Below are 21,730 nucleotides of genomic sequence, written 5' to 3' on the forward strand. Positions count from 1 at the left end.
GGTGAGTGCTGGGTCAGAGAACAAAATGTATCCACTACAACAAAAAACATAAATACACGCACTATTATATCTCCTGATGTTAGTCGGTGACATTATTAATAGAGATTATATAGGTTCCCAAAAAGTATAGGATTAGGCAGACATGTAGGAACTTAATACCATGCCATTGATGTATATGTTCTAATGAATGAATTGAGTTACTTTGAAACAATGAATGTATACACACACTAACACCACTCACATTCACTGAGAATAAAATTATATATCTTTTCTGAAAACTCCTGTGTTTTCCGTATAGCAGCAAGTTGCCAGAATATTTATTTTTGATGCCTCTATCTACAGTTACATCCTTTTTTTGTTACATCCTTAAACTCAAGGAAGAGCAACAACATGTCCCCCTATATGCAATAAATGCAAGTTTAAACATATTTATAAGAAACAGTTAAAATTAGCATATAATAATCTTTTTGAATTTGTCAAATAAGCATTAAACAAAGAAGTCCGATGTTGAAAAACGGATAAAAGTGACAGATTTTTATCAGAATATTGAAAACTTCAAAATAGTTTCTAGTATACAACTATTAAAAATGTTCTTAAAATTTCCATTTAGACATTTCAGCAGTTCGGAAGTACTCATAGTCCATTTGCACTTCTTTTCTCTGCTTCCAGCTATGAGCTTGAAATTGTTTCCTTCGGGGAACTAAAAATCCTTTCTAGAACTTGCTTTTCTCTCCTCTATTTTATCACACATCTCATCTTGCTAAGATACCAAATCCACATTTAAATACTAATGTGATAAAAATATATTTATCATGGAAGAAAGTGATATCTTTTATTTGAATTTGAATGGGTGGAGACATTTCAAATTTTATCTGGAATAAGAGAGCATAGTTTGGAAATAATAAGTCAGAGGAGAATCTCCAGAGCATACTCGTGTATGCCAACTGGAGGTTAGATTTAAATAATTAGTGAAATCACTGTTTGTATGCTAGAAATGTGACATCTCTGCTCTGCACATTACTGCTGCAGAGATCAAATCCAGAAAATTGTCTTCCAGGAACTTTAAGATCCACCACATTGACAAAGCCATAGGGAAATTTTACCCTTAATTAAGAGTTAGAAGTTGTATTGGTATAAGTGAATCATTATAAAGGTGGAAAAAACAAGATTAGCTATCTCTATATGGAAAAGCAATAATTACTAATGAGCATGGATCATTAGTGAGAGCCAATTTTTTTTCTGTTTTTAATTACAGGTAGCATGATTTTTTAATAAGTCCTTAGTGTTTTATCTTCATGCAGGTCCACTCAGAATAGGAGGGATCAGTAATGAGGTGATTCTGGGGAACTGGACACCCAACTTTATGACTTACCTAGACTGATATGGTTTGGATGATTGTCCCCTCCAAAGTTCATATTGAAATTTAATCCCCATTGTTGGAGGTGGGGCCTAGTGGGAGGTGTTTGTGTCACTGGGCCAGATCCCTCAATAATAGCTTGCTGCCATTCTCGTGGTAATAGATGAGTCCTCACTTTGAGTTCGTGCTAGACCTGGTTGTTTAAAAGACTGTTACACCACCCCACTTCTTTCTCTCTTGTTCCTATGCTCACTAGGTGATATGCCTGCTCCTCCTTCACCTCCCACCATGATTGGAAGCTTCCTGAGTCCCTCACCAGAAGCAGATCCCACCACCATGTATCCATGAAGCCTGTAGTGCTGTCAGCCAAAATAAACCACTATTCTTTATAAATTACCCAACCTCATGTATTTCTTTAGAGTGATACAAGAATGGAATAATACAGGAAAAGAACAGGAGGGATCAGTAATGAGGTGATTCCAGGGAAAATAATGAAGTGATTCTGTGTCTATTTCCTTTATAATATATCTAGACAGTCTAGGAGAAAAAAGACGGTTAAGCATTACCAAGGAAGTAATACTGAGGTTTTCTGGAGCTATGAAAGTAACCAAGATGGATGATAAATCTGTCAAGTCCTTCCTGCAGCATCTCCTTAAGGCCAGATTATATCATGGAAACTCAATGACCAGCTACTAATGTCGATATTTCCTCAGCTTAAATAAACCATTTTTTTTTTATAATTCTTGTGGCTTGATGGAAAAAAACAGGAAACTTTCTTTTTATACTTGTCATTTTTAATCATTAGTTAAGTGGAGTTTAAGAACTATTATAGTTTGTTCTATATATTTCCCATTTCTTCCTTACATGCTCATGTGTGTCACCCTACTTGCAGTTTACAGTGTTTTAAAAATGCTTATCCACACTCTCATCACCATCCTGCCTTTACCTCAGTAAGTTTGTCCTTGTAGCCAGGACATTTATTAGTTTTCAGAATGTTATTGGGAAATAGCTCAGAAAAAAAACAAGATTATGATTTCCTTTCCTTGGGACCCTTCTATTTTCACATAATTTTAGCACACTTTTCTTCCATAACAGCTTGTGACATGAGTCAATCAATACTAGGCTCATCACCATTTCCTCATTTGCCAGCAACTTTAAAATTATTGCACTACACAACTGTATTGATCCATAAATAAATGGCTGATAGTTTGACTGGAAGTTTTATGGTTTTATAGAAATTATAAAGTAGACCCAAAGATTCTAAATGACTCTACTTCACAGAGAGTAGATGGCTAATATTCTACGGGATATAAAAAGGAAGTAGAACATGAAGATCTAAAGGTTTTTTTAGTATTTATATCCATAGACCCATATGTTATACTGTTCTAACAGTAGGATCTTCTTTATATATTAAAAGGTTGATGTAGGTAACATTGCTTTCGGGAAATCAATACTGAAGACAGTATGACTTGGGAAAGGGAATAGTAAAATCCCAGGGCCTGCTACTGAAACAACTGGCTCTGAGTTAAGAAAGAAGATGTATACTTTAGACATTGCAAATAGAAAGTGGTATATAAATTATAGACCTAAAATTTTTAATACATCAAAAACGGATGTTTTTACATCAGTTTACATGAAAGTTTAAACTTTCCTTCTTCTATCACCTCTCTGCCCTGCCTTCTAGGTAAAAAATGTGTGGCTCTCAACACCAACGAATGAAGTATGTTTGCCTAATTCCTATAACTTTCTAGGATAAAGATTGTTTCTATGAAGAGAGAGTACTCAGTAGTACGCCTGTGGCAAACGATGACAGGAATTCTAACATGATGAAGGAGGCAATGAAAGCTGAAAGCTGTGGAGTACAGGTACTCTAGTTTATCAAGATAAGATGTTGATAAAGCATTTTACATAAACTAAAGACATTCAGAAAGTGTAATTTTGCAAGAATCAAATATCACAGATGTCTACAGGCTGTCCAGTGTCTCTTTGCTTGGCTAGAATTCTTATCTGGCCACTGTTGAAAGACCCTCAGGTGATGATATTAGGTTGGTGCTAAAGTAATGGCAAAAAGCACAGTTACTTTGGCATCAATCTAGTACATCTGATGAATGTACCTTCTCAATCCTCCCTAATTCTCAGCACACTGTGACCTGAAATGAGCCAAAAATGGTATGTTATTCAGAGGTATAGAGCCACAAGAACAGAAAAGCAAACACCACATGTTCTCACTCGTAAGTGGGAGTTGAACAATGAGAACACATGGACACAGGGAGGGAAACACCAATCACATGCTGGGGCCTGTCGGTGGGGATGGGGGTAGAGGAGGGATAGCATTAGGAGAAATACCTAATGTAGGTGACGGGTTGATGGGTGCAACAAACCACCGTGGCACGTATATACCTATGTAAAAACCTGCACGTTCTAAACATGTACGCCAGAACTTAAAGTATAATAAAAAAAAAAAAAGGAGTTACAATTTTTAGTACAGAATTTTGATCCTGAAATTACACTTTGTTGTCCAAGAATTAATTGGGAAATAACTAATGCCTCATTGGAGTTCTGCATATGTACGTGTACATACACATGTTTGAATAATAAATAGATATCTATGAACCATGTGGAATTGTTCAGATTAGATTACTGTCGACCTTCAAAATAGGATTTTTTTTACAATTCAACTTGTAATTGACGAGGCCATAAAAATAGAAATTTTGAAGAAAAATATTTTTCTTCTCTTCGTCACTCCTTGGAGTTCCTGGCACATGAGAAGTGTTGCATAAGTACTTCTAATTCTAAGGAAGAGGCGTATCTCAAATACCACTGTTAGCAATGGTGTACCTGACCTTCCCTAGCAGAAAATTATTTATCTTCCTATTCAATGCAAGTGCATCCTCCCAGCTTTCAGAAAAAAAAGATTTAGAAATGAACATGTTTCACTACTCTATCTGATACAGGTTTACAGAACTAAGCTTTCGTTGTTGTTGTTGTTAGCATAATTATGTAAATGTCAGTGGTTTTTTGACTCTGTTTTTCAGTCTGTCCTTTTTCCTCTAAATTACTGTTGTATTAAATTGAATGAAGTTGAGAAAAATACATTTTTCAAGCATAAGTTAAATATGAATTGGTAACAGGTATTATAGTTTGAAATTATTTAGAGTTACAACATTTTTCCTATAGAATAAAGAATGATAGAAAGCATTTATTTATCTCAAGATTCATGCAATTCACAGAAGAAAGAGAAAATTCAGAAATAATAGAAGATCATTCCAAAACTAATTACTGGTTGGTATTTTCTAACTACTGCTTAGACAAATATGACACCTACCAATTAAATATATTTTGAAACACTTTTCAAATTATTATTTCCTCAAAAATTCTGACAACTCAATATTGGCCGTTTGGGGTTTATATAGTTCAGTTTCTTTCGCTTCTTCACAGAGATAACATTCCCTCCACAGCAATGGTCCTAGGATCCTAATTCAAGTGTTTGATCAACATCCTGTTGACATAGTTTGTCTTTAAGACAGTTCTGTATAACATAGTCTGCATATCCAAGATTCTGGTAGATCACTTCACAGTTGCAGAATCTGGGTTTCAGATACCTACATAAGAATGTGGTTTAACATTCCAGGCCTGTGAGTCCCAAGCACTCTGGTATGCTATATTGGTTTTGTGGTAGAAGGAACATACAGTATATCAATTGAGAAGTAAAAATGTCTCTTCATTCAGATCCAGTATATCTAGTAAAGCTTCCTTAAATAAGGTAAATATATATCAATACTTGACAAATACTCGTTGGTCTTATTTTTTCTAGTTTTTTTAAATTGTTGAAGGTACATGGAAGGTGTACATATTTATGGAATACATGAAATGCTTTGATACAGGCATGCAATGCGAAATAAGCACATCATGGAGAATGGGGTATCCATCCCCTTAAGCATTTATTCTTTGAGTTACAAATAACCCAATTACATTCTTCAAGTTATTTTAAAGTATACAATTTATTATTGCCTATAGTCACCCTATTGTGCTATTAAATGGTAAGTCTTATTTGCATTCTGGTTTTTTTGTGCCCATTAACGATCCCCACCTACCCCTTAGCCCCCTGCTACTCTTCCAGACTCTGGTAACCACCCTTCGACTCTCTATATCCATGAGTTCAATTGATTTGATTTTTAGATCCCACAAATAAGTGCACTTATGCAATATTTGTCTTTCTGTGCCTGGATTATTTCACTTAAGATAGTGATCTTCAGTTCCATCCATGTTGTTGCAATGACTGGGTCTCATTATTTTGTATGGCTGAATAGTACTCCATTGTGTATATGTACCACATTTTCTTTATTCAGTCATCTGTGGATGGACACTTAGGTTGCTCGTATCTTGGCTACTGTAAACAGTGCTGCACCAAACATGGGAGTGCAGATATCTCTTTGATATACTGACTTCCTTTCTTTTGTGTATATACCCAGCAGTGGGATTGCTGGATCATATGATAGCTTAATTTTTAGGGTTTTGAGGAACCTCCAAACTGTTCTCCATAGTGGTTGTACTAATTTACATTCCTGCCAACAGTATACAAGCTTCCTTTTCTCTACATCCTTGTCAACATTTGTTATTGCCTGTGTATTTGATACAAGCCTTTTTAGCTGTGGTGAGATGATATCTCATTGAAGCCTTTTTTTTTTTTTTAGACAGGGTCTTATTCTGTCACCCAGGCTGGAGTGCAGTGGCATGATCTTGGGTCACTGCATCCTCCGCCTCCCAGGTTCAAGTGAGTCTGTGGATTGTAAAATGTCCATTTTAACAACATTGATTCTTTCAATCCATGAACATAGAATATTCTTCCATTTTTTGGTGTCTTCTTTGATTTCCTGCATCAGTGTTTTATAATTTTTATTATGGAGATCTTTCACTTCTTGGGTTAATTTTTAGGTATTTCATTTTATGTGTGGCTACTGTAAATGGGATTACTTTTTTATTTCCTTTTCATATTCTTCACTGTTGGCATATACAAATGTTTTGTATGTTTATTTTGTATGTTGAATTGTATCCAAATTCAACTTTACTGAATTTGTGTATCAGTGTTAATAGTTTTCTTCTGAAGTCTTTACGCTTTTTGAATTATAAGATCATATCATCAGCAAACAAGCATAATTTGACTTCTTCCTTTCCAATTTGGATGCCTTTCGTAGCTTTCTCTTGTCTTATTGAGAAAGCTAAGACTTCCAGTACTACATTGAATAACAGTGTTGACAGTGGGCATCCTTGTTTTGTTCCCAATCTTAGGGAAAAGGCTTTTTTTTTCCCCAATAAATATACTAGATGTGGATTTCTCAAACATGACTTTTATTATGTTAGGGTATGTTCCTTCTATGCCCAGTTTTTAAGGATTTTCATAATACTGTGCCATTAAATTTTATCAAACACTTTTTCAGCATCAATTCATGTGATCATATGGTTTTTATTCTTCATTCTTTCGATATGATGTATCATGTTGATTGATTTGTGTATGTTGAACCGTCCTTGCATCCCAGAGATAAATCTCACTTGATCATGATGAATAATCTTTATAATGTATTGTTGAATTTGGTTTGCTAGTTTTTTTTTGAGGATTATTGCATCAATATTCTTCAGAGATATTGACCTGTTGTTTTCTGCCTTATAGTGTGTCTTTGTCTGGTTTTGGTATCAGGGTAATACTGGTCTCCTAGAATGAGTTTGGTAGTATTCCCTTCTCTATTTTTCAGAATAGTTTGAGTAAGATTTGTATTAGTTCTTTAAATGTTTGGTAGAATTCAGCAGTGAAGCCATTGTGTTCCAGGCTTTTCTTTACTGGGAGACTTTAATTACAGCTTCAATTTCATGACTTATTATTGGTCTTTTCAGGTTTGGGATTTTTTTTTTTCTGATTTAATCTTGGCAGGTTTTGTTTATCTTGGGATTTTTTTCTTTCTCCTAGATTTTCCAATTCATTGGCTTATTGTTGCTCATAGTGGCCACTAATGATTCTTTGAATTTTTGCAATATCAGTTATAATGTCTTGTTTTTCATTTATAATTTTATTTATTTGGGTCTTTTTTTTTCACAGTTAGTCTGGATAAAGGTTTGTCAATTTTGTTTCTTTTCAAAAAACCGGCTTAATATTTTATTGATCTTTTGTATTGTTTTCCTCATTCCAGTTTCATTCTTTTCTGCTCTGATCTTTATTATTTCTTTCATTCTACTAATTTTGGTTTGGTTTGAGCTTGCTTTTATAGTTCCTTAAAGTGCATTGCTAGATTGCTAATTTGAATTGTTTTTTTTTTTGTGATGCGGGCACTCATAGCTATAAACTTCCCTCTGAGTACTGCATTTGTTGTATCCAATAGGTTTTGGTGCATTGTATTATCATTTGTTTCAAGACATTTTTCAATTTTCTTCTTAATTTCTTCATGGACCACTGGTAATTCAGGAGCATATTGTTTAATTTCCACGGTTTGATTTATCATCTCAACAAATTCAGAAAAAATTGACAAAATTTAAAAAAAGTTTATGATAAAAATCAGCAAATTTCAAATAGAAGGAAAACATCCTTAGTCCATTAAAATGCACACAGATATCCAAAATTTTCCAGTGAATCATTTTCAAAACCAGTATCACATGTTATGTTGTTAAATAATGAATTGCTAAGTTGAATCAATACCATCATTCCGTTATATTGCTATATTTTTCAAAGTTGTGAAACCGATATCATTTAATTACCATTTTAATAAAATTTATTTAAGAGACCATTTATAGTTTCTTAATACTATTTAAAGAGTATATTATTTTTCTAGGGCTACTATAATAAATTACTATAAACTGTGTGCTTTACAACAACAGAAATTTAGAAGTCTGTAGTCAAGATATTAGCATGTCCATGCTTTCTCTGAAGACTCTAGGGAAGGTTTCTTTATTGCTTCTCTCTAGCTTTTCGTGTTTTTTTTAATTTTTATTTATTTATTTATTTATTTATTTATTTATTTATTGGCAAATCTTGTCATCTCCTGGCTTGTAGATGCATCACTCCAATTCTGATTCTGCTTACATGTGTTCTCCTCGTGTATTTCTCTGTGTCTTCACATGGCCTTCTTCTAAGGACACCACTCATATGCTAATGCAGTCTGACCTCATTTTAACTAATTATATCTGCCAAGACCCTATATCCAGCTACGTTCATTTTGAGGTTCCAAATGGACATGAATTTTGGAAGGACGATTTGCTACTCAGTACAAAGTCCTTTCATTGAAATTCAGGACTATGTTTTTCTATGGCATTGTTTTTCTTCAAAAATATAGACAGAATTTATTTGTAATGAAATGAACATAACAGTGAATGGTTTTATAAAAGAAGATTCAACAGCAATGTCATATGTTACTTTAAAATATTCACTTTTAAATATTCACAACTATAGCTAAAATTTGTGATATGCTAATAGTAGGTAGCATACTATTAACTTTTAGTATTACAGAAAAAATATTTATTTCCATAATTGTAGCATAATTATTTCTCTGTTTTATTACAGGTTTATGAAGTTTTCAAATTCTATGTATTCCTGTGGTCCTTGATCCTAAAGTCTCCTATACAATAATTTATGAATTTTAATTAAAATCCAATATTACTAGGTAACTGTATTGTAGAATTACTCTTGATCTGGTTGCCTTTAGCCAAGGTGATAAGTGGTCGTATTTAAAATTATATTGAATCCTATTTTTTATGTAAGTTTCTGCAAGCTCCTTTGTATATGAAAATATGCAGTATTTTAATCTAAACTTTTTCATCAATTTTTAAATAAACTTAATGTCCTTTCTCCAATTCATTGTTTTAGAAACTTCATTTTTCCTAATACAATTCTTTGACATACTCATCTTGAAATAAGTCTTATGTTCATTTTTGTTTTCAAAAAATAATTACCCTATATTATATATGGATTATGTTGCCTGTTATGCATCTATTTATTAAGGCAGAATGCATTTAGGAAATGTATACAAATAAAAAAATATGTTCCTTAAAGCAAAATGATGTTACCCTTGGATAACTTACAGTTCACTATGTAGTTCACAGCACCTATGTTCCCCAAGAGATACCATCAAAGGTCAGAACTTCTCAGTGGAAACAAAAGTAAACCACTTAGATGATTATTTTATTTTTGTTATTGATAATTAAAAAATGATAGTGTAGGTGGAAAGCAGTGGCTTACCTCCTACTGGGAGGCTGAGGTGGATGAATGGCTTCAGCTCATGAGTTAGAGACCGTCTTGGGCAACATGGTGAAACCCCATCTCTACAAAAGCAAAACAAAACAACAACAACAACAAATAGAAGAACATGATGGCTTGCTCCTGAAGTCTCAGCTACATGGGAGGCTGAGGTGGGAGGATCACTTGAGCCTAGGAGACAGGGATTACAGTGAAACATGATCACTCCACTGCACTTCAGCCTGGCAGCCTGGGCAACAGAGTGAGACCCTTTCTCAAAAAAAAAAAAAAAAAAAAAAAGTAAAGAAAAGAAAAAAGAGATGATGTAATAAATGACACCAAATGTGTTTATTTTTCATTGGAATTTAATCAAATGAGTGGTAATTATATGCTCAAATTCACTGGTAAATAATGAAAAAAAGGCTGAACAGTGAAAGCTCTTTCGCAAGAAGCTAACTGACATAATGGAGACACGGTCAAGTACACAACAGCAATTATGAAAACTTTGACAACAATGTAGCATACAACAGTAATTGGAGGCATTTTGCTATCTATTATTTGCTATTCATTAATGAGAAATGTATATTTGATTTATAAATTTATCATTGGATTATGCATACATGCATTCCTCCATCTCATTAAAAATTACTTTTATAATTGTATTACTTTGTTTATTGAATTGACTCCCAAGAAATATTTGGTAACCCTGAATGCACTTTACATATTTTATTTTTATAATGAACAATTTTTCAGAAAACACAATTAATTGGGAATATATTCTAAAGAACATTTTTGGTATGGTTATTAATTTTTTATTCCTAAAACTCTAGGCAAATTTATGTTTCATAGCACAACCTACACTAAAATTTTTATTTCCGTAAAACTAAAAGATATTGGATAGTCGTGTGCTCCTTGATATTGCTTCTGTGATTCAAAAATGATTCTGCTCTCTTTCTCATCTATCTATCTACGCTTTTACTAAATAAGTATCCAGAAGTCTTCAGAAACATATGGTAAACCCCAAGTTTATAAGATTTTAAGTTTATGAGAAGATTATCTATTGTTTTTAGCTGAAAACTTACAATTGAAACTCTTGGAATGTGAATATATTCCAAAGAGGTTTTTTTTCTTTTTTTTTGTTTTTAATTTTTTGCAGGACTTTCTGTACTATGTTAAGTAGCAGTTGGGAACATGGGCACCCTTATTTTGTTCTAGTTCTTACAGAGAAAGATTTCAGTTTTTCCCTGTTCAGTATAATGTTGGCTGTGGACTTGCAATATTTGACCTTCTTTTTATGCCAAATTTGTGAGTTTTAATTATGAAGGGGTGCTGAATTTTATCAAATGCTTTCTCTGCATCTATTGAGATAATCATATGGTTTTGGTCTTTTATTCTGTTTATGTGATGTATTACATTTATTAATATGCATATGTTGAACTATCCTCACATCCATGGTATAAAGCTCACTTGATTATGGTATATTATCTCTTTGATGTGCTGTTGGATTCAGTTTGTTATGTTCATCAGGGATATTGGCCTGTAGTTTTCTTTTTTGTTGTGTCCTTGACCAGTTTTGGTACTTGGGGTGATACTAGACATGTATAATTAATTAGGGAGTATCCATCTTCCTTGAATTTTTGGAAGAGTTTCAGGAGGACTTGTATTAGTTATTAGTTTTTCTATTTTTTTTTTCTTTTTTGTACTAAAATAACTAGTACAAAGTGGAATTCATCTGTGAATCCATCTGGTCCTTGGCTTTTTTATTGTTGGGAGATTTATTATTACTGATTCCATCTCAGTATTCATTATTGGCCTGTGCAGGTTTTCTATTTTTTCCAGGTTCAGGCTTGGTAGATTGTATGTTTCCAGGAATTCGCCAATTTCCTCCAGGATTTCCACTGTGTAAGCACAGAGTTGTTCATAATAGTCTCTGATGATCTTTTATATTTCTGTGGCATCAGTTTCAATGTCTCCTTTTTCAATTCCAATCTTGTTTATTGAATCTTTTCTCTTTTGTTCTTGGTTACTCTAGCTAGTGTGTAATCAATTTTTTTTGTCTTTTTGAAGAATCAACTTATAGTTTTATCAAACCTTTGCATTGTTTATTTTGGTCGCCTACATTTCTTACATTTAATTGTGCCTTGATCTTTTTTTTAAATTTTTTTCTGATAACTTTGGGTTTAGTTTGTTCTTGTTTTTCTAGTTCCTTGAAGTGTGAAGTTATTAATTTATGATCTTTCTACTTTTCTGATATAGATATTTAATGCTATAAATTACTGCTTAGCATTACTTTTCCTGTATCCCAAAGGTTTTGGAATGGTATTTCAATATTATTCATTTTAAAAGTTTTTTAAATTTTTATTTTAAATCCTTTGTTGATGCAAAGATTGTCAAGGAGCGTTATTTAATTTCCATGTATTTGTACACTTTCAGAACTGTACTGATACTTTCATGAGTTATTTATTTAAAGAGATTTTCTAAACTTTTTGAGTTTTCTTCCTGCTCAGCAATATTTATAATTTATAAGTTTCAGAACTGTACAAATAGTTTGCCTTGGTATTGATTTCTAGTTTTCATCCATGGTGGCCTATGAAGATACTGGATATGATTTTGATTTTTTAAAAATGTATTTATATGTGTTTTGTGGCCTAACATATTGTTTATCTTGAACAATGTTTCATGTGCTGATGAGAAAATGTATATTTTGCAGTTGTTGGGCAGAACATTCTGTGAAGATTTGTTAGGTGTATTTGGTCTAAAGTATAATTTAAGTCCAATGTTTCTTTATTGATTTTATGTCTTGATCATCTGTCTAGTGCTGTGAGTGGGGTGTTGAAGTCTCTTACTATTATTGTACTGCTATCTCTTTCTTTAGGTACGGTAATATTTGTATTATGAATCTAGGTGCTTCAATGTTGCATTTCTATATATTTACAATTGTTATATTCTCTGATTTAATTGATCTCTTTATCAACTAATATATGTATAATGTCTTATATGTATGATAATCTTTCTTCTTTTTAATTTTTTTTTTTTACTTACAGTCTATCTGATAAATGGATAGCTTTCCTATTTGGGTTATTATTTTTATTCATTCTGCTAGTCTGTCTTTTAAGTAGAGGATTTAATCAATTTATATTCAAGGTTAATGTTGATATTTGAGGTTTTATTCCTGTCATAATAAAAAGTACTTTCTAGTTGTTTTATCAATTCTTTATTTTTTTTCTCTTTCTGTTTGTATGTGGAATTTGGTGGAATTCTGTCTTGTTGCCTTTTGATTCCTTTTTCTTCTGCATTTGTGTGTTTTTTTAAGACTTGAGAGTTTTATACTTGCATGTGTTTTTATTTTGGTAAATATCAGCCTTTCATTTCCACATTTAGAAGTCCTTTAAGTATTTCTTATAGTTTTGGTCTCGAGGTGATGAATTCCCTCAGTGTTTCCTTGTCTAAGAAAGACTTTATTTCTCTTTCATTTAAGAAATAATAAAATACAGCTGAAAATACAATTTTGGGGTGAAAGGTTTTTTTTTTTCTATTTCAGCATTTTGAAAATCTCATCCCATTCTTTTCTTGCATATAAGGTTTCTACTAAGAGGTCCACATTAGTTTGATGGGGCATCCTTTATAGGTGACTAGATGCTTTTCTCTTTTTGATTTTAAAATTCTCTCCTTAACTTTGGCTTCAAATAGTATGATGACAATATGTTGTGGTGAATCTCTGTTTTCAATGCATTTTTTTCGGGAGATCAGTGGGCCTCCTGTAGCTGGATGTCTAAATCTGCTGCTAGACATGACTAGAGGAATACTTTCATCAGTTATTTCTTTAAAGAGGTTTTCCAAACTTTTTGAGTTTTCTTCCCACTCAGCAATATTTATAATTTATAAGATTGATTGCTTTATGTAGTCCCATACATCTTGAAGGCCTTTTTTATTTTTTCGTTATTTTTTCTTCATTTTTTTTTTTTGCCTGACTATATTGCTTCAAAATACCTGTCTTCAAGTTCTGAGATTTTTTTTCTTTTACTTGGTATAGTCTATTGATAAAGTTTTCAAATGTATTTTGTCATTCCTTCAATGAATTTTTCACTTCCAGGATTTCTGCTTGTTTTGTTTTTTTTTGTTTTTAAGTTATCTATCTCCTTAATAAATATCTCATTCATATCTTAAATTGACTTTCCTATTTCTTTGTACTTGTCTTCAGATTTCTTTTGCATCTTATTAAGCTTCTTTAAAATCAATATTTTGAATTCTTTATCTGGGATTTTGAAGATTTCTTTTTTATTAAGATCTATTGCTGGATAATGATTGTGATCTTTTGAAGATGTCATAATAACTTGTTTTTAATGCTTTCTGCATCTTCACACTGATTTCTGTGCATCTAAAGTAATAGTCACTTCTTATTTTTGAATTACTTTTTCATGTGGGGAACTTTTTCTTGAAGATGTGAATATGATGTATGTTGGATATAGTCATTTTGCTTTTCTGCTTTGTGTGTGCAGTGGAAAAGATTCTGCATGATTTCTTTGGCTATAAATACCATTGGTGTGATCTCTCTCTGTAATGCTGGTTATAGTATCAATGTATGAGGCAGGTGAACAGGCTCATGGTATCTTGAGAAGCTGGGGTGGTGTGGCCAATGGGGTTAGCCGTGGTTGTGAGAAGCTTTTCTTGTTCCCAAGCAGTATGCTTTTGTGTCATTAATTGTTGTAATAGACTGCAGGCAAAATTCTAAGCCAATAGGTTGTGCTTACAGGTAAGAGCCAGCTGTAGTGGTAGCAATAAGTTTAATGTCCAACATCTGTTAATCAGGAGAAGCACTCCAGTGTCCCTGGTCGTGGATTGGGCCACAAATTCCCACAGGCCTGGGTCCTGCTCTCCATCTTTGAAGGTAGGTGAAGCTGGGCAGAGGAAGATCAAGGAAGCCTGCATTCAGGCCTCCCAATGGTGAGTTCAAGCACCAATTCTCATAAAGGGGGGAAGGAAGTCCTCAGACCTCTTAACAAGCTGCCCAGATGAAGGGTGACTGCTTCTGCACTGAGGTCTCAGAGCAAGAAGAAAGAGATTGCCTGAGCACAATGTCTTGGCCAGAATGAGTGAAAACTGCCTTCTGTGCATAACCCAGGTCCACCAGAGCTCATTCTCTCACCCTAATTATGATAGGCAGTGAAGGTTATTCAGTTAGTCAGTGCAATTTGCCTCTAATTTGAAAAGGTCAATGCCACACCTCCCTGCCAACTCTTCTCCTGCTCCATTCCCTGAGGATAGAGGGAAAGTGCCTGATTCCAGCATCAGCAGCTTGAACCACACTACACTCATATCTCAGTTCTGGCTGCAGGAATCCCACCCTTTCTTGAGCCCCATTTTTTTACCCCCTGACCCCAGTCTCTCTAGCACCCAAAACTGCTGCTGCTGCTAGCTCCCAGGACTCCATTCACCTTGAGGAGAGCTTTGATTATGAATGGAATTCTACTTTAAGCACCTAGTTATGGGGGAGTGCATGGGACACTTCCTGGAGCAGTTCCTTTTCACTCTCTGCTGGCCATTCTCCAAGTTAGAGCCACACCTTGGGAGGGTTAAGGTACTCTCCCATGCCTTGGATTGCACACTTCTCCAGTAAGGAGTGAATGTCAGAGTGACACTCATTCAACTTTTCTCATTCATATTGCAGATTCACACCCAGTTTTCAGTCAGTTCTGGATATATGGGCAGCCCACCTTTTTTCTCTCAGATTCTAAAATTCCTTTTTGTTTTTTTCTTTTGGACTTCCTTGTTTTTTCTTTTTCTTTGGTAAGTATTTAAAGTGTGATTGTCTACAGCTCTAATTTGGTTGTAAGTTAATGAGAAGCCCTGGAAAAGTCTTTAGTCTGCCATCTTGGAAACAAGGCATTTCTTAACACAGTTCTCTATGTAAACTACTGATTAATTTCAATTGTCAAGAAGAGAAGCACATTGATAAAATGTCAAAATAATATTTGAATTCTATGCCAAATTATTTAAGTAGAAAAATAAATCTTAAATTTTAATTAAATTAAAATGTCTTTATGTTTTAAAAAATCTTTCATACACAACAGAAAAACTCAATAATTGGGAACTTCCATTCAGGGAAGATGGAATAGATGTTCTTTGCCCTATTCCTCTGGCTGGGCACAAGTAAAAACCATGACTATAGATATAAATCCAACATAAAATGGCTTTGGAATGCCAAGTAAGAAGGCAGACTAGCTAGGAACCTCAGGACACTGAGAAAGATGTGGTAGTGATTTAGTTGAGGTTATCTTTTGTCTCATATATCCCAGACTTGGAGCTGAAGAGGCCAACAATCTGGACATGCCAATGAATGTATACAATAAAAGATCCAACAAAAGCGTTTACTCTCTAGATAAAGAACAAGAAAATGCTCATGAAGCAGAATAGAGAACATTTGACACTGACTGTTCTACTTCAAATACCACAGAAAACCTGTGTCTGCACCCACAGCCACTGCATCAAACTCCATGTGGGGAGCCTTGACTACTGTCTTGGCCAGCTCTAAAGAGATGTTCCAACCCTCCAACCTCAACCTCTTCCTTGGTCATGTCAGAGAAGGCCAGTCAGGAAGTGAAGCTTTTTATCCCTATGTTGCATAAGAAGGTTACCTTGACACAATAAGCCAGGAGAGATTGCATGGGGAACTGGACTTCCCCTCCACCTTGCAGTAAAGAGACACCTGACCTTTGTTAGAAGGGTAGTTTCAGAGGCAGCTGAAGATTAAGGATTTAACCAATACTCACTGTTAATGAGAAGTGCCCCTCTCCATGTGTGTCCCATGGGGAGCAGAAATAGTGCACTACTACCCTACCCTGCCTAGGAGTTATTAGTGAAGGCATCTTGGGGATCCAGAATTGCTACCTCTGCCTAACAGTAATAAGGACTCAGAGTGTCAATGAAGGCTTTCTGAGGAACTTAGGCTTTTGCCTGCACTTAGCCAATTGCCTGTCTGTGATAGTGTACTTTAGTTTTCTAAGATATTATCTTTGGGAAAACTAAGAAAAGGATCTGCAGGATCTGTATTATTTCTATAACTATATGTGAATCCACATTTATCTCAAAATAAAATTTATTTTTAAAAAGTTAATTTTAGAACTATTTGCTTTGTTTTTAACAATTTTGTCTTTAAATTGTATAAAGAACTTTTCCAAGGTTTAATATTTCCTCTGCTTTGATGATGAGATTATGCCTTTCAAAACTGAAATGTTATTGTGTCATTTTGCAGGAAAACAGAACTACATTATTTTATTAATGTATCTTGTAAACAGGAGGCCAATTCCCAGAGTGTACAATGCCTAATCCCTTTTCCAAATCCCTAGGAAAAAAAGGGGATTGTCACAATCTGCATTAAGGTTGAGTTTGGGCTTTGACACATGCTGATGATGGTGGTCGTGATTGATTATAGAGATTGTGTCTACATAGAGACAGAATTCAACACTAGGCCACGGGACCCCAAATATTTGAATTGAAGGCCCTAGAAAGAAAAAGAGAATCCTAACACAAAATTTCGGAACTAAAAATAAGGAAATCAAATGAGGAACTGCAAAAGAAAAAAACTGAAGTGGGAAGTTGGGGAAAAACATCCTGACAAACAGGGTCGTAATAGTGGCTTTTGAAGAGATACCTCTGACCTCTAAAGTGAATAAGTAGTGGTCTACTACAGGACTCTGACTGGATTGAGAAGTAATAAAAATTTGTAGTATGATCTCACAGAAAATTATTCTTTGATAATCATGGATTATTCTGAAAGAGGACTAGTAACTATAATATTGGTACCTATCTCATAAGATTTTTTGAGAATTAAATTAGACAATTTGCTAAGATTTCATTTGCATAGCATTGATCCAGTAACATTAATTATTTTTACTGATAGCCAAATTTTTTTCACTTACACACATAAAATTTTTTTTATTTCTCTCTTTTTTTTTTTTTTTTTAATTTTTGAGATGGAGTCATGCTCGGTCTCCCAGGCTGGAGTGCAGTGGCACAATCTCAGCTCACTGCAACCTCCACCTCCCAGGCTCAAGCAATTCTCCTGTTTCAGCTTCCCTGAGTAGCTAGGACTACAAGCACATGCCACCATGCCCAGCTAATTTTTGTATTTTTAGTAGAGATGGTGTTTTGCCATATTGGTCAGGCTGGTCTCAAACTCCTGACCTCAGGTCATCCACCTGCCTCGGCCTCCCAAAGGGCTGGGTTTACAGGCTTGAGCCACCACACTTGGCCCTGATTTCACTTAATAGTTTCCCCAAGGTCCTCTATAATTTTGGCATCACACTTGAGAGAGTCAAGAAATTTTTTTCTATTCTCTAAAAACAAACAGTATTTATTGCCATACCACCAAGAGTAGTTGTAATTTTTGGTTATCATTGTTGCTATAGAACATAGCTTACTCAACTCACTATTCTCTGTTTTTTTCTTCTTAAAATATTGTTTTTATTTTTCTACATAAATCTCCAATTTTCCCAGAAAAAATTATTAAAAACACAAGCGTTTGTCATAAGGCAAGTGACTTATCTGTGCTATATACTAGGATTTATTTCTTTAAATTACTTCTGTATTGTTTCTTGTTTTGCTCCAAAAGTACCTTGCCTTATGCCTTTTGCTTGTATCTTTATGCTAAGTCTTGAAATCTAGTAATGTAAATTTCCCAGTGTTCTTTTTAAAGACTTCCTTTGTTTTTATGAGTTTTTTTTTTAATCCTTCTAGATAACTTTTACAATCATCTTGCCAATTTTTCACATGCAAACAAACTTCTGGAATTTAATCTGTATTACATTTAATATAATAATCAATTTGGGAATAGAGTCATCTTAAAAATGAATTAACCTAAACATGAATATGAATATATCTTCTTTATTTAGGTAATCATAAAATTTTTAGTAATATTTTCAAATTTTTAGTGTAAAAATTTTACATGTTTTCTATATTTTTCTAGATATTTGAAGTTTTAATACCACTCAAAATGTGTTATAAATCTAATTTTATTGTACATTTTTATACTGTCTGGAAGTTTAAATGATTTGTTATATTGCCCTGGCATCCAGAGACACTGGTAAATTCACTTATTACTTTTAATAATATATTTATAGTTTAACTTCAATTTACTGCACAATGATGGCTTAAAACTAGGCTAAATTCCAATTTTTTAATCATGTTTAAAATATCAAAATATGAGATATAACTTTTCCTATGTAAATGTGATCAGTCTCTTAGTTGCCTTTCTTGCTGAAGTCTTACTCGAGAATCTGGTCTTTTGATGGCTTTAGAAACATTTTTTTTTAAAAACTAATTTTCTCCAGACCTCTGGAACTTAGTGTTTTTAGCTGCAGGGCAAATTTTCACCTTTAGTCTATAATTTTTATGGGAAATTATGTCTTAGTTTTCTCTTAAGAACTTGAAAAGTAAACTAAAATTTTTTCCATTGATTGGTGCTACACTTGTATAAGAGATGGGAATTATCTGGAATGTTATGAAGAGCACTTTGGATATCTGGGGGCATTCCTAAAACGTTGAAAACTAGAAAACTTGAAATGGTGACTTTCAAAAATATTACCATTTTTTCTAAATATTTGTTTCAGAAGATAATTCTTTTAAAAATTTTGTTGGGTTTATTGATTGATGCTTTTAGAATAATTTAGGCTCTCCAAATCTTAAGATGATTTATTTATAAAGTGATTCAGAAACCAGTAACAATCTTAAGATTACATGATATTCAAATCATTCCACAAGCTTCAATTTTCTAATAAGGCTTAGTTATAGGGAAAAGAAAGGTTTGTAATCATGAACTGAATATTTTTCTCATCACTGAGTTTGGGAAGAGAGTAGGAAATTTAGGCAGAGTCATCCATACATTCATTTCTCAATATTTGTAGCGTGATTTTAATATGCCAATTGCTATGCTAAGTCGTGCACAATGATGAAAAAGAGAATCTGAGCAAATGCAAAGACTAAAGCCCAAGCTGTACACAGGCTAATATGGAATTGCTTCTGAGTAACATAAGGTATTGAGCACTAAGCTCCGATTTTTTTTACCTTGCTGAAATTCCTATCTAAGGATAGACCCTTAGATCTAGGGAGTCATGCTCTACAAACCATAAGTTCTCATCAGTTGGGTTTTATTTGACCCTATATATCGTGATTTACTTTCCAATCTCACTCTGGCATGACATTATAAGAAAAAAAATCAAAATATTTAACCCCAATATACATTTCCTTGCCATACCTTGAATTTGCCCTGCAAAATCTCTTGTGGGAAAAATCCACATTCTATAGAGAATGCCCTTTCACCTTTGTTTTCCTTCCTTCCTTTCCAGATCCAGAAGATAATCAACTAAGAGCCAGGCACCCTTTTAGGTCCAATAAGAAACATTTTACAACCTGCTTTCTCTCTGAAGTCTGCTATCTGAGAGCTTCCTCTGCACAATAAAATTTGGTCTCCACAAACCTTTATCCTAACCTAAACATTCCTTCCATTAATCCTGCATCTTCAGATAAGCTCAACCAATTGTCAACCAGAACATATTTAAATTTACCTATAGCCTGGAAGCCCCCGACTTTGAGTTGTCCCACCTTTCTGAACCAAACCAATGTATCTCTTTAATGTATTTGATTTTTGCTTCATGCCTCCCTAAAATATATAAAACCAAGCTGTATCCCCACCACCTTGGGCACATGTTCTCAGAACCTTCTGAGGGCTGTGTCACGGGCCATGGTCAGTCATATTTGGCTCAAAATAAATCTCTTCAAATATTTTACAGAGTTTGACTCTTTTCGTCGACAGTATAGAATGGTAGGCATGAGTGAAATGTTGGGAAGCAGGACTGGAGTCCAGGCTTCCACAGGTCATGCTGTGAGCATATGGATGGGTTTTTCCTAAAAGGCCACTTCTTCTAAAGAGAAATATGATATTTTCCCTGAATGGTGAATTCAGGGTAGAGGATCATATATTTCTGTTGATAGCAGAAAAAAAGAAAGCCTCTTATTACCCACTAGTTTTGAAATCATTGCAAAAGCTTTAAGATTTGGAAGTATAATGGTTGGTGTAACATTGAAAGAAAACCTGGCCCTGCATAATGGTGCTACGTTTCTCCCCCAACCCCTGTTCACATGAGCATCCTCTTTTCAAGATGCTGTTGGGGGAAGAGAATGCCACAAATTGCCATTCCCAGACGAAGTTACAGAAGGAGTAATCTTCCAAGATCTGGAAAAACATAATCAGTTTTCTCAAGGAACTTTGGAGAATACACTGCATTGAAAAATGATGGTATAATGCACAATATATTTTAAATATTCAGTGGAGGGTATCACTGATAATAACCTTCAAGTTTTTATCATTAATTTTAAATTGTCTATTAGAAAAGAAATGCATCCTCAGCATATGAAGGACTTTGCTGTTTTATTTACATATATTTCAAGGTAATTTGAAAAAGTCCACTCTTGCTCTCTTGCTCTCTTTGTGTCCAGTTAAGAGAAATGGCATGGTGGATAGAATTGTACGGAGAGAGAATACAAATTAAAAGTGATGAAATATCCTATACTAATCACAACAAGAATTCCTATTAATTTTTCATGTTAACTATCAGAAATTGTAAACCAGTCTTGGAATAGAGGTTAAGATAAAGCTTTCGGAGACCTTTCTATTTAGAAAGCTTAGTAAAGGTAACTTAATTCCAGTAAGTTTTAAGCTAACCTACACAGCATTAAAGAGGTCTTAATAATGGAGCAGTAAGATTATTTCTTTTTTTGACATGATACAGTTTTTTTAATTTGCAAATAAGAGTAAAATTGATAAATATAGAAATTGGTTTAGTAGGAGAGGTTTCTAAACTTGATTTTTTTCCTTTAAGATAATGTTTTTAGAGTGCATCTATGTTTATGCCTTTAGTTTAGCTTTAGTTTAGGGGTTGGCAAACTAAAGCCCACACATCAAATCTGACCTTCACAAGTTTTTATATAGCCTGATTTTCACACTTTTAAATGGATGAAAAAATTTTTAAAAAAAGAATGATGTCTTATGACACATGAAAATTATAATAATTTCAAATGTCAATGTCCATAATTAAGTTTTATTGAAACCAGCCAGGCTCACTTATTTATGTATTGTATGTGGCTACTTTCATGCTATA

The sequence above is a fragment of the Homo sapiens genome, chromosome 5 (assembly GCF_000001405.40).
Source record: "Homo sapiens chromosome 5, GRCh38.p14 Primary Assembly".
Taxonomy (NCBI): Eukaryota; Metazoa; Chordata; class Mammalia; order Primates; family Hominidae; genus Homo; species Homo sapiens.